Here is a 26701-nt window from a genome sequence, read left to right on the forward strand (position 1 = left end):
TAGGGGTTAAATTATTATTTAATTAGATACATCAATTTCCAAAGATTCTACAATGAAACTAGTTTTTTAATTTGGTAATTTAATAATTAGAATCTCTTATTTGTCATACTGTTATAATTTCTGTCAAAATAATAATCTCTATAAAATGTTTTAGTGATAATAATGCATTTGACCATATGAATAAAGCAATTTCCTGATAGTAACTGCATTCTTAAATTTTACCTTGCTCTTAAAACTGGAAGGACACAGTTTATTGTGAGGAAAAAAAAAAAAAACAGATAAATTGAAGTTACACAGCTTTGTCATAGTTAAATACATCACTCCTATTAAAAAAAAAAAACAAACAAACCCGGGCCAGCGCGATGGCTCACGCCTGTAATCTCAGCACTTTGGGAGGCTGAGGCGGGCGGATCTCCTGGGGTCGGGAGTTTGAGACCAGCCTGACCAACATGGTGAAACCTGGTCTCTACTAAAAAAAAAAAAAAAAAAAAAAAAAATACAAAGTTAACCAAGCGTGGTGGCACATGCCTGTAATCCCAGCTACTGGGGAGGCTAAGGCAGGAGAATTGCTTGAACCTGGGAGGCTGAGGTTGCGGTGAGCCGAGATCGTGCCATTGCACTCCAGCCTGGGTGACAAAAGCGAAACTCCGTCTCAAAAAAAAAAAAAAAAAAATCCTTTCAACTATCACCCCATTAACTATCAAATTCAATACCTTAGCTTGACTTTTAAGATTTGCAGTTACTTATTAGTTCTATTTAATTACTGAATTATTGTTTTCAAAATGTAGTACCTCTGTCATAGGTATTAAAAACCCAAAAATATAAATTTTTCTTAGAATTTACAATAAATCGATGAGAAAGTCTATTAATAAGCTAGATAAACGCCCAGTTCTAAACATAGCTATCCAGATATAAGTTCCTACTTTTCTTCTTTAGATATAATGAGATTATTAGGTCCTCAAATCCTAAATTGGAGCCCCTCTTTTTATTATATTATCTTTGAATATGCAATTATAATGTCATCTGCTAAAAATTGTATCACTTCTTCAAGATTAAATTCAAATTCTACGTTTTTATGAAGCATCACACAATCCACAACCCTCAACAAATAATTACTGTTATTTTTATTAATTTTATATAGATGTTTATAAGACTTCTATATATTTTTAAATTAATTTTCATGAATCTATAAATGGGTATTATTTTTAAGCTCACATTGTAATAAGGGTATGAAATTTCAAAGAGTAATGATGAGCTCAAGATTTCCTACCCAAGAAATAACAGTTTTAGAGTTAGTTCTAATTAATTTGACATTCATCTTTGCCTGTATATTTCCGAAAAAAAAAGGCCTAGCTTCCCCATCTTTGCTCTACCCCTTCTAGTTCTATGTTATTTTATATACAACGGTTTTTTATGTGGCTGTTTTCAAAAGTTTGAGATTTATAGATCATACATTTAATATAAACTTTATTCTAATCATTTACTCATTAAACCGGCATTTACTCTTGACTAAGAGTGCATGTTGTTAGGACAAACTCCAGCACCATAAGCAACTAGGAGCTCTTAATTGTACTTCTTGCTCTGCAGCTAATAGACTCCAGATAATACACACTACAGGAGACAGAATAATTCTCACAGAACCCCAAAACGACAACTAAATAATAAGGGAGAGCTGAATCAGAAGAAGTTTAGAGCAGAGACTAAACTGACCGTGACTAAGATCAGGGCTCAAAGCTGTTGCATGTGTGTGTGCCCAAGGTGGAACATGTGAAACTTAGCAAGGATTGTTGGGAAACAGATCTCCAGAGAAAGGGAGGCAAGATACATTGTCTTAGAAGGAGGAAGCATAATGGAGCATTACAATGTTAGAACTTCTGGAAGCCAGCATGTCAGGGAATTTTAGAAAACTCTGATAAAATAAACAAATTCCTTGAAAATTGCAATGGAGTAAAATTTATATAAGATAAAACAAAATTTTAATAGACCTGTGTTTACTAAAGTAGTTGAATTCATGATTAAAAACTTTGTCACAGAGACAATTTCAGATTCAGATTTCGCTGGTGAATTTTAACAAATATTTAAGAAAGAAATAATACCTATCTTACACATACTTATTCAGAAAACAAAGAAAGCAGTAGTATACCTTTTGGCTTGCTTTATGAGGATAGCAAAATCGTAATCCTCTGACTTCGCAGAGACAATAAGATGAAGAAAATTATGGTCTACTACTGCTATGGATGTAGGTACAAAAATACTTTTAAAATATTGGTAACTGAACCCAAAAACATATTTTAAAAATATTGCACCATGACTAAGGAAGTCTTATCTCAGTAACACAAGGTTGTTTTTAACAAAGAAAAATAATTTTTAAAAAATCAACACCAATCTCTGTTAAAAACTTTCAGTAAACTGAAAATATCAAGGAACTTCCTCAATCTAATAAATAACTTATAAAAAATCTACAGCTAACATCATAATTGGTGGTGAAATATTGAACATTTGCTCTTAAGGATACATACTCCCATTTCATTTTATCATTTTCTTCTGGTCCTAGATCAGGAAGAAAAAAGTAAAGATGTCTCTGTTTGCTAAAAGCATGACTGTTTACATATTAAATCTAAGAAATATACCAACAGCAACTAGAAATAACAACTCAGCATAATGGCGGAATACAAGCTTAATATATAATAATTTTCTTTTCAAATATTAACATCAAACAGAAAAAATTAAATTAAATTAAAAAACATTTTATTTACAATTGTGCCAAAACTCGTAATTCTGTTAGCCATAAATTAAGCACAAGGTGAGCAAAATCTGTATAATGAAAAAAAAAATCCCATAGATATGAGAAATCAAAGAAAATCTAAAACAATGATGAGTCATTCCATATAAATGGTTAAGAAGATCTAATATTGTTGAAAAATCAATTTTCACTAATGAACCATAGATTCAATAAAATCCCAGTCACAATTCCAGGAGCTTTCATTGTTTTTTTGGTAGTAATCAACAAGCTATTTCCAAAATTTCCATGGAAATGTAAAGGATCTAGATAACTCAATCTTGGTGAGAAAAAAACAAAAACAAAATTGAGGACTTATATCTCAAGGTGAATATAGATTTGCACCAATCAAGCCAGTGTGACATTGAAATGAGGGAAGACATATAGATCAATGGAACAAGCTAGAAAGTCAAAGTGATAAGCAAAACAACAACAAAATGATACAGTTTTAAAATATATTTTAATATTCATAACTAAGCCTATTCTCAAACATTTGGAAATTTTGTATGAAAATATTTTGTCATTTTTTGGTTATAACTGTTTCCTCTTCTTTATGAAGAATTATTTAACATTAACAATTTTAATTATATTTATAGTAAATATTTCTCAAAGTGCATCTTAATTTTCCTTCTGGTATTTTTTTATATAAAGTTGTTTTTATTTTATTATATTCATACTCCATGAAATAAACCAGGAGCTGTCTCAACAGCCTTTTGTTTGTTTTGACTCTTTCTGGTTTTAGATCTTTTTCTTCTTTTTGTTTTATTTTTAACTTAATCTATAAACATAATTATTAATTATGCTGCATGGCAGAGTGATCCTCATGAGACATCATTCAAATTTTATTTCCCCCTTGCTATTCCTCCTTTAATAGGACTTCTATTTTAAAATGGTACCAGCCTAAGTGCATGTAAGGTTGTCTTTTCTAATTTTTCAATTAATCACATAAGACAATACAGACATACCAAAAAAATACAAAAATATCACTAAGAAAGTTCAACTATTGTCTGAGCTCAAATCCAACAGAAAACAACTCTGAATTAATATAAAATGAAGTAATTTCTACCCAAATTGTTTAAATCAACTTTGAAAAAATAGAATACTCCATTTCAACTACAGTGTTATTGTGCCTTGTACCATTTTTGTGACAATGAATTTTTTAAAGTCTTTTCAGGTACAGATAAACTTTTATTTTATTCCTTTGCTATTTATCAACATTTATTTCAACTTTGAGATAAATTAATATGTAATAATAAACACACTTACAGAACAGATGGCTAGGTTCATGATGAATACATTGAATTACTATTTCTGAATTGTGTTTACCTGTATATAAGAAAAGGCATTAGCAAACTCTTTATCATTTGTATTGTCACTCTGATTTTTGATACCTTGCAATGCAATTTAAAGTATGCTATTACAGACATTTCCATTTTTAATTGGTCATATTGTAAATTTATGTTTTGTTCTTTTTATGAGATAATTTTCATTCTCTTATTCCCGTAGTTTATATATTTGATATCATATGTTTAAACAGAAAGTTTTTTTTAATTTCTAAGAGATGGTTCTACCTTTTCTATTTAGTATTTGTTTGAAATAGCAGGGTTAAATATTTCAAGTAACGAAACTAACTATGTCATGTAAGCATTTATTCACAGGTCAAGTGATACTAAGCAATTTGCTGTACAGACTTTGAAACAGATGAACCACATTAATAGAAGCCATAATGTGTATATAACACCACAGACATGTTGTATTTTTAATACTGTAATGCTTTCTCACTTGTTTTTTAAAAAGCACATGAAGGACTACTTGAAAGCTATTGTCTTCTGCATGCGACTTTATTAATTTTTCAGGTGAATATTTTCAGATTTGTTTGACTTAAGAATGGATTAAAATGAAAATGTGAGCACAGAACCTTACTGAGTATGCTGTGCTGAAACATGTTCCTTAAGCATATTTGTCAGCTGGGAGCACCTGACAAGTTCTAATAAGAAATGTTTTACTCCATTAAAAAATAACAGTGCACCTGTCACTAATACAGAAAAATATGTATTTGCATACATTAAAAATTCATCTGTAATTATTTCTGACATTTCTGAGTTTTCTTTTTCCATAATGGGATTTTATTTAAAACTTTTTGAACTTTATATTTATGTAATATTCTAAAACTAGCACATTGTTAATGAAAGACTTTCATTTTAACTTATTTGATTTGTTATTTATTCTAATTTTATCCTTTCTATGACTAGCATCAAGAATTGTTACAACCCACTTGGAATATGTTTGCACACCATATAGTTCACTGCATTCATTTGTACAAGTGCCAGCTGGCCAGCAACATTTTAATTCCCTTATTTTTCTTTTCTCTCTTCTTTTTTAGCTTTATTGAGCCCTCTGCTTCATTTTCTCATCATTTCTCCATTAACCTACATTTAACTCCAGTAACAGATCATATCCATCATTTTGTATGTGGTACCAATTTTCCGCATGTGAATAAGCCAAAATACATTCTTCAAAGCTAAAGCAAGTATTTGCTGCAATCATCACCAAATCACATACAAATTTATGGATAGAAACAAATATTTTTGCAAAGTAATGAATATGGAAACATCAAATATAATTTTATGTCATACATTGTATAGATTTGGAATTACTGTAATTATATCATCATTTCTGTTTACATTTAAGTCACCATTCATTTATGAGAATAAAGTAAATCTGGCTGTGACAGAAAGGTAGATCTTAAATTAGAAATTAAGATTTTCAGCACAATATTTTATTTAACACTGTTAAAAATAGACAGACATTTTGCTTTTGCTGTCAGTCGTGGGAAATTTAAATGAAAAAAAAATTATCCTCATTTAGATATGCCCTTTTCCCCCTTGTAATCATAAAACACATGCCCACACTTAGAAACAACTACACAATCTTTGTAATTCATAGTACTCATAATCCCTACTCATGATGCTAGCTCAGGTCTTCATGAAGTTTAGTCTATTTCAAGCTTTATTTCTTAGGATGTTTTGGGAATGGCTTGGATATGTTATCATTGGAGTAAAGGCCTTTTTAGTGTTCTATTTCCTGCAGGAGCAATTAAATCAGGTGAGAGATTGTGGATCCACTTTATATGAGGTTTCTGTATGGTATTCTTATTTGGCTTTATTATTCTTTTTTCTTCCTTGCTTATAGAATCTCCATTTCATTCAGATAAAAACTGCCTTGATGAAGGGGATGAATGACAATCAGGTTTAACTGGTGGATGTCAAACTGAGGTGCACATTACAGTCACCTGAGGAAGTTTTGTGACATCCTGATACCCTGGAGATTTTGAAGTAACTGGTTTGGAAAGGCAGCCTGTATTAGTGTTTTTAAAGAGTTACAATTATTTTAATTGTTTAATGCTTAAGCCAATATAACTTCTTTTAGGATAGAGGTTGCATAGCCAATACCCCAACTTAAAGGGAAACTATTTCTTTTCTGATGAAATGCAAAGTTGAGGCCAGGAGAAAGCCTTTTTTTTCTCTAGCTCCCTTCCCCGTTCTTCCCTTCAACCTTTGTTTCTTTGTTTTGAGAATGCTGAAGAATGATAATGTAATGTTTGAAACTGTAGCAGCCATTTCATAACCTTGAAAGGTGATATTGCCACCAGGCTGAAGTTGAAAGATTAGAAGTGAAGGAACTGAAATCTTGAAGATACTAAATTGCTAAATCAATCCTGAGAATTCCTTAATATATAAAGCATAAGTGTCCTCTGAAGGTAAGTTCTCTAATATTTGCTACTAAACATATTTTAACTGATTCCATTATTGATATGATAACTCAATATTTAGTACTTAATTCAGATAAATTAGAACAAATTAAGTTTTTTAAGTGCTGTATTTAAACTATAACAATCTTTTATTCCTTCCATTGATTCATTCCTCAATACACAAGTCTTTTGGTCTGGTACAGACTTACTGCTGTGCATTTTGACCAAGATCATTAGTTAGAATATGTGTATTGTGTGCTAATAATATAGTTGCAGTTATATTTGGCCCACTCTGTCTCATATATTTTAAAACTAATGCCTAGTTTTATACTTTGGACAAATGGGTTTCTAACCACATTCCAGAATTATGCTATGTATTCTTAATTTAGTTATTAAAATATATTCATTGAGAACCATCAATATAATAAGTCTGTTTAACAAAGTGTATAAATGAATGAGATTTGGAATACATCTTGTTTTCAAATCCAATCCATTACTCTTATTGATTATTTAAAGCACTCTGATAAAGAGATCTACATATCAACTTTCTAAGGATAGTAAAAAAAGTTAAGAGAGGTTGAATAATAGATACAAATGTAGGAAGGGTATAGAATGAGGCAGTACGGAATATTGTATTACTTAGAACTCTTTCTCCCAAGTCTCACACAAAGGGGAAGTGATTCAAAATACTGACAAATGTATGTGTACCTTTTCCTCAACGAATAATTTTTTTATTTCATAAATAATGTTCATTATATGCTAAATACTGTTTAAAACACTGAGCACAAAAATGAAGAACAAAGTTAACATGATTCAATCTCTCATGAAGCTTCAGTCAAATGAGAAAGACTAATGTTAGCCGTATAGATTAATCATAGATCAATCAATAATTGAAATCATATTGTTTCATATGAAGAAATGAAATTCTTCCAAATATATTTGATATTAAGTCATGTAACTAAGATTAGAATTCTCCTCTACTTTTAGCTAAGTATCTTTTCCAAAGCAAAATAAATGGGACCAGGATATAAACCCAACTTAGTAAATTTGCAGAATTGTATTCTTTTATATCCTAACCTTTTTTCTAAAGGTAAATAAAGCCAGGAGATATGGACAGTAAAATATAACATTACCATAGATTTACAAATGTGAATAGATTTTATATATTTTACCTTTACAATACTTTTCAGTCTAATAGATGGTACCACCTCCATAAAATGCTAGCATCAACAGAGAAATTAATGTGCTTAATTAACATTAATTTATCTGGCATGAAAAAACGGGGTATTTTTATACCAGGGTTATTTAAATTTTATATAAAACACAGAGATGGAAAATCTTCATGTATACATTATAGAGAATATATGATTATGCATATATATTTATATGCTTATATAGTATACATAAAATACTACCCAGTGCATAATTTTAACACAGAAAGTGGCTTTACAGCCTGGTATTCCAAGAATGCTTTGGTATAAAAATCATTATCTTGGCTGACAGTTTTACCAGATCTTCTAATAAGGATCTTCTTCACTTGCCCTAACAGGCCACTTTCGTTTCCCAAGAACTTTCTTTTAGAGACTCTTGAATGTGTATCTGCCTTGAAAGGATGGCCTATCCACATTGCCACTTTCTCCTTTTATGTTCAATATTTAGAATTCAGCTCAGGTCCAAACCAAAGAAGCAATTCTACCTCACAAGTGCTGCAGCTGGTTTTCTCCAGTGCTACTCCATTCATAGCAAAGGAAGGAGTGGCAGACCCATGCAAGATTAGTTTAAAACAAAAATTAATACTGCTTCCTCATCCCATAAACTCTTGAGCTAGACTCTCCAGGGACAAAAGAGGAAAGACTCAAACAGACAAAACTTGGTTACCACTGATAATAATCCTCGGAGATGTGTTCCCGGTTATTTGGACTTTTGCCATGAATACATCACTAAAAGTTGGAAGTAGCATGGTTTCCTCCAGCCATCTGGTTTAACTGAAAAACATAAATATTGGTTTTCTTATCCATGTATTATTGCTTAGTTATGACTTGAATTATGTTCTTAAATACTGAAAAGTATCTGAAAATTGTGTATAAATTCAACATAAGCAACAAAGTAAATCATCCTTATTATACTTATTAATATATTATACCAATAAACTAATGGTGGATTTTATCAAAATTTTAGTGATTTGAATTATTTGGATTCATCTCATATTCTGGTTTTTCTTTTTTTATAGACTCATAGTAGACAATCAGAAAAATCAAAATTCAAACAGAAATTTGTTTAACTTAATGCAAATATATATTATTTTAAAATATATGTGGTTAGCCATTCTAAATTAAAAAATGGCTAGTACGAAATGCAATCTAAAAAATATAAAATTCCATTAATATAAGATAAAAATTTGGCTGATATGTATATATTTTTTCGTGTGTAAATTTGTTATTTCATAAATAATATCTATTTTATGCTAGATGCTGTTTAAAACACTGAAGACAAAAAATGATGAACAAAGTTCACGATTACATCTCTCATGAAGCTTTAGTCAAGTGACAAAGACTAATGTTAACCACATAGATGAATCATTAAATGAACAAAACTATTATACAATTCTCCACCAAATTGAAAATAACACAAGTATAATTTTAAAATATTTTAATTTAATATTTTGTGGGTATGTTGACACATATGATATCTTCTTACTACTCTGGGTAAGGTTACACGTGAGATCCAAATATATTCCACATTTTATCATTACAAAGAAAGCAGACAAATACAAACTTATGTGAAACAAAAAGTTTAATCTAGATTTTTAAATTAAGTATTAGAAAAACTGAAATTCTATGTGATATTAATGATGGCAGGTGCCGGTAATCCCAGCTACTCGGGGGGCTGAGGCAGGAGAATCACTTGAACCTGGGAGGTGGATGTTGCAGTGAGCTGAGATCGCGCCATTGTAATCCAGCCTGGGCAACAAGAGTGAAATTCTGTTTAAAAAAATAAAAAATTAATGTTACTATAATAAGTATTTGATATTTTAATATAGGCAATTTAAATTTTAAACATCACCTTCAAGATTCTAAATAATAAATTGCAATAATTTTAAATTAAAAAAATCAAAGTACAAAATAAAAATGCTTCACATCAAAACCTATCCTAGATGAATTATTATATTATATTTCTTTCATTTTCTGTGGCCACAAGATTTATTCAGTCTTTATTATGCACCAGACACATTGTTAGTCCATAGTGATAGAAATAAAACATGATCTCTATCCTGCAAGTGAGGAGGTACATTTATCTGAGAACTATAGAGACTAAAAGGCTTTCTCACATTTACATAGCTATTAAATGTCAGTAACTAATTTTAAATTAGTTAAAATTTAAGTAATTCGTTAAATTAGTTATCTAATAAATTAGTTAAAATTTAATTAAATTTAGTTAAGCCATATGTTTCTCTTTCAAAAGCATTTACTTGTTATTTCATCTTACACCCCCTCTGAGTAGTAAATAAAATATTTTAAAAAAGGAAGTGGAAGAATAAAACGTCCATGAAGTAGCAGAATACTATTACCATTAGAATACAAAAATAACTAGCAAGAAAAAAAAAAAAGCATAAAGCCATAAAATAATAAAAGAAAATGTTATTCATTTGCCATGGCTGGCATAACATAGTATCAACAACTGGATGACTTAAAAAGCAAAAGTTTATTTTCACACAATCCTGAAGACTTGAAGTCTATGATTAAGATGTAAGCAGGGATAGTTTCTTCTGAATTCTCCTTGTCTTGCAAATGGCCTTCTTTTCTCTCAGTCTTCACAAGGTCTCTCCTCTGTGTGTGTCTGTGTCCTTATGTTCTTTTCTTAAAAGGACACCAGTCATTTCAATTAGGGCACACCTCAATGATCTCATTTAACTTTAATTGCCTCTTTAAAAGTCCTATCTCTAAATAAAGTCACATTCTGAGGTACTGGGGTTTAGATTTCAGCTCATAACAGAAGATAAGCTCTTTTTTAAAATTAAAACTTGTGTAACATAACTAAAAATTTAAATCTAACTAAAGATTATCATATGTTTTTAAATCTTTATATACATATAATCATGGTCACAATAGAGTCTACATAATAACCATAACTTTTATGTTCCACCTTTATGTCCTAGGCATTTTGCCATTTTACACATGCTTAAAACAATTCTAGGATCAGTTTTGTTATTATTCAGAATTTTTTGATATGGAAATGTTACAGATTTTTGCAACTTTCACAAAGTAATGTAAATAATAAGGAAAGCAGCCAAAGTGTATATCAGCTGTTCTGTCTGACTCCAAGTCCCAGTGTTTATTTACTGCAGCATAAGGCCTTTTGGTAACTCATTATACCATATCTTGGTTGTTTTGAATTGGAGTATTGGGAAATAAAGTTTAACATATAACATATTTTATACGTCTGGTTTACTAAAATATTTTCAAGTACTCTCATAAAATAAAAAAAAATTATTTTGCTCTATCATGGAAATATTTGCTTTCACCATTAATTGTACAACATGATAGCAAAGATGAATTCATTAAGTCATATCCTACATAAACCACTGCGATATTTTGCTCTCCCGGAATCTGTGTGACTAATACAAATACATAGCCTAAGTAAAGATAAAACTTTTCACACACATACACATTTTATATAATTCTCTTCCATATGGACAAAAAAGCAAGTATTTACAAAATTGGGAAATTTTTTTGATATGAATCATTTGAATGCTGGCTCCATTTTTGTCACATAACTTATTTAAACTGATAGTGTGAATCATACCACAAAAAATGTAATTTGACTCTTTGAACCATAGACTTGTGTTTTTTCTTTTAGTTCTATAGGAAATAAAAAGATGAACTTGAAAATTAATTTTTTAAATATATTATTTTGCAATATAAGATAGAGAAAGTGTAACAGAAAGGATATTTCCCTTTTGTCTGACATTATTATATGTTAAGATCCAGGTAAACACTTTAGTATTGACTTTCTGTTTGGTGAGGGCTAGTCTCATTTTTATCTTGTCTTAATGTTTTTAAACAAGTATAAAACACAGGTAATTACCTTTTAATGTGGAAGACATTTTCAATTTTTCATACTCAAGGCCACTTTGCAAAAGTGAATAGTGCTACATGGTATAGAATATTTAAATAAATCATAATTCTTTGCCTTTAGAAATATGAAGAGCAACTTTAGTAACCAAATTAGATGTCACATTGTGCTAAATATGCAAGAAAAAAAATCTATGTGCAGATGGTGAAAATCAAATTTATTTTCAACTTCACAAGCCATGTCTATATGATGAAAAATATCGGTTCAACAAATTATCCATCTGCCGTATTCAACCATCTTAAAACCAAATAAATCAAATGTAAATATCATGTGGCTAAATGTACAGAAATGTTTTGACTTTTAAAAAGTTTCTAAATCATAGGTATAACTCCATATTGCAATTCCTTGGTGTGACCACTGTTATAGTCACTATGAAGATCAATATGAAATTAAGGTATTTTCAAATTAATCTTTTAAAAATAAAGTCATTAAATAAAGATGAAGGAAAATACTTAGCCCAGTGAAATAAATAAATATTCCACTTATTTTCTTTCTGAATTAATTTTCTAAAACAAAAATCAAACGAAAAACTTTATGTCCACTTTTACCTTATAAAATAGATGTGACTTTTTTTCTATCTATGAAGTCACGAGAATAGTTTTGTGGTACACATTTTTAAGCTCACACATATGCGAAACTGTTACCCATTAAAAAATCGAGAAAGATAATATAAAATATTTGCATATTAAAATAATTTGGGGTAAAATAATATATTTACTAAGTGTTTTAGCATTTGCATATTTCTGTACCTATCATGGGAATGAGGCTCAACTCTGGAGGTAAGTTGTTGGGTTATCTTTGGCAAATTAACAAAAACAGTGTTTCTGTCCTTTCCCTTCCCAAGTAAAATTATTAGACATATTGATCTCAAGGCCTCTTTTTGTTTGAAAAGTTTTACATCCCATAAAATTATATATGATACATTATACCCATGTTAAATTGAAATAGCTGCAAATTTATAACAAATATAATAATGTCATACAACTTGACATTTAAGTATATTTCAAATTTTGAAAAGCATGCTTATTTAACTCTTTCTTTACATAATGATTATTTTATTTGAGTAATAAATTCATTGTATCTACGTTCAATTTTTGGTTTGCCCAAAGTATAAGTGTATTTTTGTTATACTTATTAAAGTATAATTGAGGAAGCTCCACATTCAATTAAAGCAAAGGAAAAAGTTATAGTGCTAGCAATAATTTATGTCAGATGACATAATAATGTTATCCTTAGCTAAAGCGTCAGCTCTAAATAACTGTGATAAAATTTTCAAATTCAGTTGCAGTTTGATTTTCTCCTTCTTCCTCATAACATAAATAAAAATGCCAAATATCTAAACATTTTAGAATATTCTCTGTAACAATAAAATTATAAAAATATCAATATATAATATAATAACCAATTTAAAACAGCAAAATGTGTTCATTTTAAGTATATGTTAACTAGGAACATAGATAATGATATACAATCAATTAAATAGTATTAATGTAATAGAACTTAATCATATTAACTTTCCAAAAAATAAATGTGTAAGCATTTTCAAATAATAAAACAATAAGAATCTTGTTTTCTAATAGCAAGTAGAAAAATATTTGCAAATAGAGAATCTCTCAGATACACACATGACTTAATGCCCATCAGTCACAGCTATTGCCAGTGGACATTTGAAGTTGTTATCATATTGTGATAACCACACAATGAAAGTTATGTTAATTTTGTAAACTCAAAACAAAAATTACACTTATGTTAATGACATAAAATCATAAAAACAGTTTAAGGCCAGGCACAGTGGCTCACACCTATAATCCCAGCATTTTGGAAAGCAGAGGCAGGAGGATTGCTTGAGGCCAAGAGTTCATGACCAGCCTGGGGAACAGAAGAATTAAATAAAAATTATGCTGAATGTAAGAACCATACAAAGCATCCTGTATGAATCATTTTTAAAATAAATTCTGGAAGAGGAAAAAATAATCTATACTGAATCAAATCAGATCAGTTGTTTCCTGGATTATACATTATGTAATTATGGTAGTTGAATTGTAAAAAGAAACATAAGGAAATTTTCTGGTAGGTGGAAGTTTTCTAGGTCTTGATTGGGGTGGTAGTTACGTAAGTGTACACTCTTGTCAAAAATTATCCACTATACACTCATTTTTAAGGAAAGGGCTTGAATATTTGAAAAATCCTATATCATAGCAATATATTTTTATATTTCCTGGAGACACAACATGTTAATTCATGTGACTATGATTATAACTTTATTATTTAATCAAATAAGAAAAAAATTCAAAGTAGAAGTCTTTTTTTTTTTTTTTTTTGAGACTGAGTCTTGCTCTGTCTGTCGCCCAGGCTGGAGTGTAGTGGCGTGATCTCGGCTCACTGCAAGCTCCGCCTGCCGGGTTCACGCCATTCTCCTGCCTCAGCCTCCCGGAGTAGCTGGGACTACAGATGCCCGCCACCACGCCCGGCTAATTTTTTTGTATTTTTAGTAGAGACAGGGTTTCACCATGTTAGCAAGGATGGTCTCAATCTCCCGACCTCGTGATACACCCGCCTTGGCCTCTCAAATTGCTGAGATTACAGGCGTGAGCCATCGCGCCCGGCCCAAAGTAGGAGTCTTCAGGGAGTATTGTAGTATAGCAAATGCCAACTCAGTGTTAATGAGATCTTCATCTTATTGTATCATAACACTTAGTATTATTGAAAGATTTTCCTCAGAGAAACATTTTACCAATTAGAGAAAAGGATGCATGTTTTCCAAATCATATTTAACTCAAAATGTTTAAATACTAAAATATTAATGTATCTACAAATGTGTGCATAAATCTTTTAAACCCTCATAGAACATTAAATCTCAGGGCTTAGATCTATATTGGAGTTAGCCATTTAAATATTTTTGGATTTAAAACAATGATAAAGTATTCTTTTTAAAACAATCATAAAGTATTCTGCCTTCCTACCAGGTAGACAATACTTCATTTTGCATCTCTGACTTAATATTTATTTTGTTCAATGTATTCTTGTGTGTATATATATAGCCTAATCTCTTTCCTCTAAAATTTTACACATTAAGTTGTCTACCATGGACAGTCAACTTTTAACTCTAGTCCAAAGATTTTGCAAAGAATATTTTCATAACTGTGCACCTCATTCTGTTTATCTAACTAGGCGTTCATCCTGTGTAATTTGAAAATATGTCACACGTGGTGATGAGAATCTATTTGAGGAACATGGGCAGTTTGAAATAATATATGCAATGTATGACTAGTTTATATAATGAAAGGAAGTATTTAAAAAGATAGAATGACATAGACTAATCTAATTGAGAAATATGAAAGTCTAACAGAAATGATTGCTTGTGAAATTTTATGAAGAAATCCACAGATAAATTCTCCACCTTGATCTATGTAATCCGAAATTTAGATGTTAAAAATATGTTGATTCTGAAAATTTATATTTATTCAAAGTTCCAGGTCATTTTTGGCTGGAAAAAAATTAAAAAGTCAAATGAATTTTTGAGGCAATCTAAATGAAAAGGCAGCAGTTTTTATGGTTGGAATAGACAGAAAAGTAGGGTGAGAGATCAAAAGATAATTCTAAGATTTCTTGCCTGTTAGAACAGGATGCTGGCAATACATTCTGCAGATATCAAAGTTTGGCAATGGAAAAATACAAAGATGCCTCACTATCTTATATTTAAAGTGATGAAGTTACATCAGGATTTTAAATCTATATTTGACTTTCCATATTATGTGGTATTTCACATGATGATCACTCAAATCAAAGACTATTTTCAAACATATTAATACATTCTATTATTAACTGTGATGCCAAAATACTGAAATATATGCTATTTAACAAGCAGATAGATCTTATGTTTTCAAATATTTATATGATTTTATTTAAAAATTTGTCTGGAGGCATTCAGCTAGAAAAACACTCATAATTAGCTAATGCTGAGAAAAAATTTTCTGTTAAATTTAAAAGTTTTACTTTGTTCTACTTCTGAGATATTTCAAATATATAGAAATATTTAATAATGACACATAAGTGACAATACTTACTGAACAATTACTATGTGATGGACTCTGATTAAAGAAGTATACATGGATTATTATATTTAATACATAAGACTTTTTTAAATTAATAATATCAATCTTCGTCGTTCATGTTTGAAAGAACCCTTTTGAAGACATCCTTTGTTGTAAAATTTGTCATTTTGGTGGTCAGGGCATGATGAATTTAAATAATAACTTGAACAGATCTGTGATTTAGAAAGATAAATTTCAAAACATTTTGGAAGATATAATACATTTAAAAAATGTCATGACTATCTTCTCTCTGGTTCTTGTCACGACTGCCAGTCCTCATCCCTTTCAGACTGTACATTGTCTCATTCAAAATTAACAAATTGTAATTTTATTGAACATTTACTATGCAAAACACTTTGAAAAGATGAAGAAGGATGGAAAGATGCCCCAAATAGCTGACTTCATGCAGTTTAACCTGAAGTAAAGGAGAAAACCCACTAATATATGAAAATGCAATTAATAACACAAATAATGATTGATGTTTAGTGGCTTAATTTGTCATGTAAGCAGGCACAGGCAGAGAAGGTTACAGAGTAACTGACATCAAGATTGTCTTCAATGATAACAAGCCTTTGGAAATAAAAAGGAGATTGGAAATCTTGAGGAAAAGTATGTGAATATGGATAATAGATAGAAATAGAAAGATATATCATCAATATTGCCAAAGGCTTGCATGGAAAAGGCATCCTTAACTTGTGCATTTTGTGATTCAGTGAGTCAAATAAAAAAATAAACAGAATGAAGCTATCAGAGAATAAAAGGAAAATATTTTACGACCAAAATAGATCACTTTGTTAATGAGGGCCTGTGGTATACGTTGCTTAGAAACCTTGTATGTTAAATATGGCCAGAGTGTATGCAATTGAGTCAAGAAATAACGTGAGCAGTGGCTTTTGTGGTTAAACAACTTGCCCAGAGTCACATGGATAGTGACAGGTGCTGACATAAATTCAGATATTTGGCCTATTATTTCTCCCACCTTTCTATAAAATGTTCCTTTGTTAATTTAACATTATGAAACCTTAGACTTGTAACACTGGTATTGAATGTATGATATTATATTTATTTACAGATATCTAAAAATGTGACTAAATAGACCTTTCTATATTTTACATTTCTTGAATTTGTTTTTAAGATGGTAATATATTCCCTATCTGGAGATTTGATAGTAACTTCCAGATTTTGTTGCTTTTAATAATATATAATCACTAGTTCTATTTGAAAAGTAATTTGAGGTATGAGGGAAGGGAACTCTAAATTTAGGATTTCTTCATATAGAGAGATGGTTTAACAGTCATTATTTTAAGACTTTTATTTTATCTCCACATTTTGATTACTAACAAAGCTTTTGGTAAATATTAACAAATTTCTATCGTAAACATTGTTAACAGTTACACTGTTGATATTGTCAGTTGGATGTACAATATTAGAGCCACATGGATTCAGGTATTATTAAGATTTAATTACCAATTTGACAGACAAAACTAGCAGCTATCATTGAATTAATCTGTGTTTGTTTGAATACTGGTAATATTAAGTAGGTTACTTTTTATTTCTATCTGAATTTTTTATTTGATATGCGTGTGATGAGAGAGAGGGAACTGTTTATAACAGTTGCTCATTCTTCTATAGAAGTTGTTTTTGACTTATTAATAAAAGTCTATATATGTTCAGGTTTTATTTAAAATTTCCTTCCATAAAAAGCTGCAAAGTTCTGTAAACATGAGCCAAAAAAAAGAGAGAAAAATAAAAGCACTGTAGTCTTCTGATTTGTTACATGCCTTTAATTTTATCTGTTTTTTAGTTACATGCATTTGTGTCGACAGATACAGGTTTTATTTTTCTTGATAAAACGCTGTTTGTGTCTTTTGAGCTAAGAAACACTCACTCTAGTCAAAGATTATATTACAACATGACTATCATCTTCTCCATAATAATTCTCTTTGCTTTATTTTTAAATTAAAGAATATATCTTTGAGTTTTCCCTATACTTCACTGATTAAATTACAGAATAGCAACTGTTTTGACTCTTTCTAAATCTTGTGAAAATTTTGTACAATCTTTTATCTCATCTTCCATCCCAGTCTACTCTCTTCTTATATAGCCCATCCTTGAAGAAAGCAAGTGCTGAAGTTATGCCTCTATCTGTGTGAAACTGTTTTTTATACAGCATTATAACAGATAATACTAGTCCTATTCTCACTAATTCCTTTTATATTTTTGTGCATTCCTCTAGCTTCTGAGTGTTTGCTTCACATGATCCTCATATAGGATTATTTTCAGGTGACTGTCTCAGATTATTCGACATGATTTTCAGAGGGAAGTCTCCAGGAATTTACATCACTTGGGTGAAGGAAGAGAGCAAAGAAACCACCAACTGGTTGAGATGAATGAAAACCTACTTCCTTTTCCTGGAGTTTAAATACACTGTGAGCCATAATTTTCAAACCAGAGCTCCACTGCAAGAAAAGGTGAAGGATGAGGTATTGCCTGCAATTCACCCTTTGCTTAGCTTCTTCCCTTTTCTTCTATTAGGCTGGTACAAAAGTAACTGTGGTTTTTGCCATTACTTTTAATATATTCCTAAATACCCATTTAGTCTCCTGGCAAACTTCCTGGTAAATCTCAGGCTCTCCTTCTGGGAAGCCAGTCTCAAGACAAGGATTTTCTTCTGAATTTTCAGAGATATGCACATTCATATTATACTGTATATTTTTACATAAGTAATGTTTACTCTTTATTATTTAATTTATTTTTGGTTTAAGTACTATATATGCAAGATTCAGAATCCTAGCAGCATAAAAACATGCACGGTAATAAGTAAGTCTCTCTCCTGTTACAGTGATGACCAATTTTCTAAGTTTCTGTGGGTGTCTCCAGATATAGTCTATGAATGTAAAAAATATATATTATATTTACCACACAAATACAGCATACTTTATATGGCATTAATGTTTGCTTTTTTTCACTTAAGACTAGTTTGAAGATTTTTTTATAACATTACATATAGAGCTCTGTTTTCTGTCACTTTAAAAATAAACTTTTTTTAAAACAGTTTAAATTTACAGAAAAATTATAAAAATAGAACAGGTTTTAAATACTGCATACCCAATTTCTCCTATTAACATCTTACATAACTATGGTCATATTTTTACAATTAATGAACTAATATTGATTATTATTCACTTAAATTCATTCTTTATTCATATTTTCATCTTTACCTAATTATATTTTTCTGCTTCAGGATACCACAACACATTTGGCATTCATGTCTCCTAAGGCTCCTCTTGACTTAACAATGTCTAAGACATTCCTTGTTTTTGATGATCTTGACAGTTTTGAAGAGTACAGGTCACTTTTTGCAAAATGGCCTTCAGTGGTATTTCTATGATGTTCTCCTCTTCATGATTAAACTGGGGTTATAGTTTCTTGATAGGAAGACCACAAAAGGTGCCATTTTCATCATGTCCTATCAAACATATGTCCCATGAATATGACTTATCACTGTTGATGTTGACCTTGATCACATGGCTGAGACAGTATTTTTCAGACTTTTCCAAGGTAAAGTTACTCTTTTTTCATCCTTCTCATACTGCACTCTTTAGAAGAAAGTCATTGAGCACAGACTATATTTAAAGGGTAGAAAGTTAGCATATGTTGTCACAATTAGCTTTATAATAAGTTTTAAAAACAAGGTGGTGTGAGTCCTCCAACTTTGCTCTTATTCAATATTGTGTTCATTCTTCTAGATCTTTGCCTTTTTGTGTTAATTTTAAATCAGCTTGTTCATAGCTACAAAATACCATTATGTGATCTTGATAAGGACTGTGTTGAATCTATAAATCAAATGGAAAATAACTGATATCTGAACAATATTGAGCTTTCCAGTGTATCAACACAGAGTATCTCCGTATTAATTTAGATCTTCTTCTACTTCTTTAATCAGAGTTTGGTACTTTTCCTCATATATGTCTTGTATACATTTTATTAAATTTATATCTAAGATTTTCTTTTTCTTATAGTATGATAAATGGTATTTTTATTTAAATCTTAAATTTCAACTGTTTAATGCTGGCATACAGAAAAGTAATTAATGCTGTATATTAACCTTGTATTCTGCAATCTTGTCATACTTGCTTATAAGTTCCAGGATTTTTTTTCGGATCCATTGTGGTGGAGGCAGGGGTGTCTCCAGATAAAACCATGTCATCTAGAGACAAAGATATTCTTCTTTCTTCCTTTTAAATATCTATAAATTTTATTTATTTATTTTATTGCAACAGCTAGATATTTACAGTGGGATTTTGAATAGTCCTTGCCTTTTTCTTGATATTAAGAAAAAAGCAGGGATGGAGCCAAGATGCCTGAATAGAGGCAGCTCTGCTCAGCAGCACCCACGGAGGACAAAAACTGTGAGTGCACTCTGCATCTTCAACTGAGGTACCAAATTTCTCTTATTGGGACTGACTAGGTGGCGGGCATGACCCTCGGAAAGCAAACAAAAGCAGGGTGGAGCAACACCCCACCCAGGAGCTACACATGGCAAAGGGAGCTCCTTCCCCCAGCCAAGGGAGACAATGAGGGATTGTACATCCCTTCCCTGTAAACCAGGCTTTTCCCAGGGATCCTTGTAACCTGCTCATCAGGAGGTCCCCTCCTGAGCCCAGGCTACCAGAGACTTGGGGCCCAAGCAGAAAGCTGTGGAGAATCACAGGGGCTGCTCGAGTGGGCAGCTGCTTTGAGCAGACACTGCGACATAGGAGTGTTAGCATACTCTGCTCTTTGAAATCCCTTCAGGCAGGAAATCCATCCACTCTTGTAAGGAGGAGGCTGAAGCCAGGGAGCCAAGTGGCCTGTTCCCACAGACCTCCACAAGCCCAAACCCCCTGGCTTAGAGCCATACCCCACTTCCCCCAGCCAGTGCAGCCAGGGAGAAGCTGCCTAACAAGACAGAGTTCCCCAGGGAAAGGGGTGGCTGCCATCACTGTTGGCCCCTTTCCCTTGCCACTGACACCAGTGAGAGAGTGGGACTGGATCAACTCCTCCTCAGTGGGTGGAGTCTCCCTGTGGGAATCTCAGCATCCCCAGGCAAGAATTTGTGGACAGAACACTGATAACCCTGAGAGGAGCTCCCTGGAGGAGTGGCAGCTGTGGTATCCTGCATCAAGGATCTTAAGTCTTTTCTGCCTTCTGGCTCTAGAGAATCAGGGTAGCCCAGATGAGGGTGATTCTCCCAAGTGAAGCACACCCACCCTGTAAAGGGGCAGGCACATTGCTTATTTAAACAGGTCCCTAACCCCACTTTTCCTGACTGAGTGGGACCTCTCAACAGGAGTCTCAAGACACCTCATACAGAGTGTTTCAGTCAGCATCAGGCCAGTGCCCCTATGGGACAGAGCCCCCCGAGAAAAAAGCAGCCTGACATCTTTGCTCTCTGCAGCCTCCCCTGATGTTAACTCCAGGGAGGGGAGGGATCAAAGCGAATAGGGGCCGGAGTGGACTGCAAGCAAACTGCAGCAGCCCCACAGAAGAGTGGTCTGACTGCTAAAAGAAAAACAAACAGAACACAGCCACATCAACAAAAAAGGCATCAAATAAAACCCCATCAAAATTCAGCAGCCTCAAAAATCAAAGATGGATGAACCCACGAAGATGAGAAAGAATCAATGCAAAAATGCTGACAACTCAAAAAGCCAGAGTGCCTCTTCTCCTTCAGGAGGTTGCCACAGGCCTCCAGCAAGGGCACAGAAATGGGCTGAGGCTGAGATGGATGAAATTGACAGAAGTAAGCTTCAGAAGATGGGTAATAATGAACTTCACTGAGCTGAAGGATTATGTTCTAACTCACTACAAAGAAGCTAAGAACCATGATAAAAATGTTACAGGAGCTGTTAACCAGAGTAACCAGTTTAGAGAGGAACATAAATGATCTAATAGAGCTGAAAAACACAACACGAGAACTTCTCGTAATGCAAACACGAGTATGAATAGCTGAATAGACCAAATAGAAAAAAGGATATCAGAGCATGAAGACAATCTTGCTGCAATAAGGCAGGCAGACAAGATTAGAGAAAAATGAACGAAAATGAATGAACAAAACCTTGGAGAACTATGGGGCTATGTTAAAAGACCAAACCTACGAATGATAGGCGTACCTGAAAGAGACAGGGAGAACGGAACCAAGTTGGAAAACCCACTTAAAGATATCATCCAGGTAACTTCCCCAACCAGCAAGACAGGCCAATATTCCAATTCAGGAAATCCAGAGAACCCCAGCAAAATACTCCATGAGAAGATCAACCCATAACTATCAGATTTTCCAAGGTTGAAATGGGGAAAAATTATTAAGCACAGCCAGAAAAAAGGGCCAGGTCACCTGTAAAGAGAAGCCCATCAGACTAACAGCAGGCTTCTCCGCAGAACCTCTACAAGCCAGAAGAGATTGGGGGCCAATATATAACATCCTTAAAGAAAAGAATTTCCAAACTAGACTTCCATATCCAGCCAAACTAAGTTTCCAAAGTGAAGGATAAATAATATCTTTTTCAGACAAGCAAGTGCTGAGGGAGTGTGTCACCTTGCCTGCCTTGCAAGAGCTCCTGTAAAAGGCACTAAATATGGAAAGGAAAAACCAATACCAGCCACTACAAAAAACACACTGAAATACCGAGATCAGTGATATTATGAAGCAAATGCATAAACAAGTCAGCAAAATAACCAGGCATCATGATGTCAGGATCAAAGTCACGCATAACAATAATAACCTTATATGTAAATGGGCTTTGCCCCAGTGAAAAGACACAGAGTGGCAAGCTGGATAAAGAGTAAAAATCCATTGGTTTGCTGTATTCAAGAGACCCATTTCACATGCAAGGACACACATAGACTCGAAATAAAAGGATGGAGAAACATTTATTAAGCAAATGGAAAACAGAAAAAAGGAGGGGTTGCACTCCTAGTTTCTTACAAAATAGACTTTAAACCAAAAAAGTTCACAAAAGACAAAGAAGGGCATTACATAATGGTAAAGGGGTCAATTGAACAAGAAGAACTAACTATCCTAAATATACACCCAAGACAGAAGCAGCCAGATTCATAAAACAAGTTCTTTGAGACCTACAAAGAGACTTAGACTCCCATACAATAATACTAGGAGACTTTAAACCCCAGTGACAATATTAGACATACCATAGAGACAGAAAATTAACAAAGATATTCATGACTTGTACTCAGATCTGGACCAAGTTGACCCGATAGCTGTCTACAGATCTTTAAACATAAAACCCAAAACTGTAAAAACACTAGAATACATTCTAGATCCATTATAGAATTATTCTAATATATTCTAGAATTATTCTAGAATAAATTCTACAGACCTTTGCACCTGAAAACAACAAAATACACATTCTTCTTGGTGCCACATGGCACTTACTCTAAAATTGATCACATAATTGGAAGTAAATCACTCCTCAGCAAATACAAAAGAAATGAAACCATAACAAACAGTCTCTCAGACCACAGCACAATCAAATTAAAACTCAAGAGTAAGAAACTTACTCAGAATCACAAAACTACATGGAAATGGAACAATCTGCTCCTGAATGATTCCTGAGTAAACAATGAAATTCATTATTGGTTGTTCAATTAAATTATTATTGGCTGTTCAATGAAATCAGGAAGTTTTTTGAAACCCAATGAGTACAAAGAGACAACATACCAGAATCTCTGGGATGCAGCTAAAGCAGTGTTAGGAGAGAAATTTATAGCACTAAATGCCCACATCAAAAATCTAGAAAGATCTCAAATCAACAACCTATAGCATCACAACTAAAAGAGCTAGAGAAGCAAGAGCAAACAAACACCAAAGCTAGCAGAAGACAAGAAATAACCAAGATTAGAGCAGAACTGAAGGAGACAGAGACATGAACAACCCTTCAAAAAAAATCAATGAATCTAGGTGCTGTTTTTTTGAAATAGTTGATAAAATAGATAGACCACTAGCTAGACTAATATAGAACAAAGAGGAAAGAATCAAATAGACACAATAAAAAGTGATAGAGGGAATATTACCACTGACCCCACAGAAATACAAACTACAATTGGGGAAAACTTTAAACAGCTGTATGCAAATAAACTAGATAATCTAGAAAACATGAATACATTCCTGGACATATACACCCTCCCAAGACTGAAAGAGGAAGAAGTTGAATCCCCAAATAGATCAATAACAAGTTCTGAAATTGAAGCAGTAATAAATAGACTACCAAAGAAAAAAAGCCCAGGACCAGACAGATTTACAGCTGAATTATATCAGAAATACAAAGGGGAGCTAATACCATTTTTTTCTGAAACTATTCCAAACAACTGAAAAGGAGGGACTTCTCCCTAACTCATTCTTTGAGGCCAGCATCATCCTGATACCAAAACCTGGCAGAGATACAACAAAAAAAGAAAGCTTCAGGCCAATATTCCTGATGAACACTGATGCAAAAAGTCTCAATAAAATACTGGCAAATGGAATCCAGCAGCACATCAACAAGCTTATCCACCACAATCAAGTTGGCTTTATCCCTGGGATGCAAGGATGGTCAACATATGCAAATTAATAAATGTAATTCATCACATAAACAGATTGAAAGACAAAAGCCACATGATTATCTCAATAGATGCAGAAAAGGCCTTTGATAAAATTCAGCATTTCTTCATGTTAAAAGCCCTCAATAAACTAGATATTGAAGGAACATAACTCAAAATAATAAGAGCCATTTATGACAAACTCACAGCCAACATTATACTGAATGGGCAAAAGCTGGAAGCATTCCCCTTGAAAATCAGCACAAGATAAGGATGCCCTCTCTCACCACTCCTATTCAACTTTGTATTGGAAGTTCTGGCCAGGGCAATCAGGCAAGAGAAAGAAATAAAGAGTATTCAAATAGGAAGAGAGGAAGTCAAGTTGTCTCTGTCTGCAGATGACATAATTTTATATTTAGAAAACTCCATCATCTCAGCTCAAAAACTTCTTGAATTGACAAGCAAATTCAGCAAAGTCTCAGGATACAAAATCAATGTGCAAAAATCAAAAGCATTCCTTTACACCATCAATAGGCAAGGAGAGAACCAAATCATGAATGATCTCCCATTCATAATTGCTATAGAAAGAATAAAATGTCTAGGAATACAGTTAACAAGGGAAGTGAAGTACTTCTTCAAGGAGAACTACAAACCTTTGCTCAAGGAAACCAGAAAGTACACAAACAAATTGAAAAATATTCCATGCTCATGAATAGGAAGAATCAATGTTGTGAAAATGGTCTTACTGCCCAAAGTAAATTACAGATTCAATGCTATTCCCATTAAACTACCACTGACATTATTCACAGAATTAGAAAAAAAAACTATTTTAAAATTCATATCAAACCAAAAAAGAGCCCATATAACCAAGACAATAGTAAGCAGAAAGAACAAAGCTGGAGGCATCATCATACCAGATTTCAAACTATCCTATAAGGTTTGAAACCCAATGAGTACAAAGAGACAACATACCAGAATCTCTGGGATGCAGCTAAAGCAGTGTTAGGAGAGAAATTGATAGCACTAAATGCCCACATCAAAAATCTAGAAAGATCTCAAATCAACAACCTATAGCATGGTAGTGGTACAAAAACAGGCACATAGACCAATAAAACAGAATACAGAACTCAGAAATAAGATCGCACATCCACGACCATCTGATCTTTAACAAACCTGACAAAAACAAGCAATGGGGAAAGGATTCCCTACTCAACAAATTCTGCTAGGATAACCAGCCATTTATTTGCAGAAAATTGAAACTGGACACTTTCCTTACACCTTATATAAAAATTAACATGAGTCTTTAACACAAGTCTTTAATCTATCTTAGATTAACACAAGTCTTTAATCTAAGAGAGGTTAAAGACTTAAATGTAAAACCCAAAACTATAAAAACACTAGAATAAATTCTAGGCAATACCACTAGGGCACAGGCAAAGATTTCCTGACACAATCACCAAAAGCAATTGCAATAAAAGCAAAAATTGACAAATGGGATCTACTCAAACTAAAGAGCTTCTGCACAGGGAAATGATCATCAGAGTGAACAGGCAATCTACAGAGTGGGAGAAAATCTTCTCAATTTATCTATCCAACAAAGGTCTAATATCCAGAATCCAGAATCCACAAGGAACTCAAACAAATTTACAAGAAAATAACAAACAACCCCAATAAAAAGTGGGCAACAGACATGAACAGACACTTCTCAAAAGAAAACATTGATGAGGCCAACAAACATATTTAAAAAAACTCAACATAACTCATCATTAGAGAAATGGAAGTCATAACCACAATGAGATGCCATCTCATGCCAATCAGAATGGCCATTATTAAAAGATGAAGAAACAACAGTATCTGGCAAAGGTGCAGAGAAATAGGAATGCTTTTACACTGTTGGTGGGAATGTAAATTCATTCAACCATTGCAGAAGACGGTGTGGTGATTCTTCAAAGAGCTAGAACCAGAAATACCATTTGACCAGGAATCCCATTACTGGTTATATATTCAAAGGAATATAAATCATGCAACTATAAAGACACATGCACAAGTATGTTTTTTGCAGCACTGTTCACAATAGCAAAGTCTTGGAACCAACCCAAATGCTAATCAATGATAAACTAAAGAAAATATGACACACATACACCATGGAATATTATGCAGTCATAAAAAGGAATAAGATCATATTCTTTTCAGGGACATGGATCAAAGTGGAAGCCATTATCCTCAGCAAACTAATGAAAGAACAGAAAACCAAACACCACATGCTCTCACTTATAACTGGGAGCTGAACGATGGGATCATATAGACACAAAAATGGAAACAACACGCACTAGAGCCTATCAGGGAGTAGGGTGTGGAGAGAGAGCGTAT

The sequence above is a fragment of the Homo sapiens genome, chromosome 4 (genome assembly GCF_000001405.40).
Source record: "Homo sapiens chromosome 4, GRCh38.p14 Primary Assembly".
Lineage (NCBI taxonomy): Eukaryota > Metazoa > Chordata > Mammalia > Primates > Hominidae > Homo > Homo sapiens.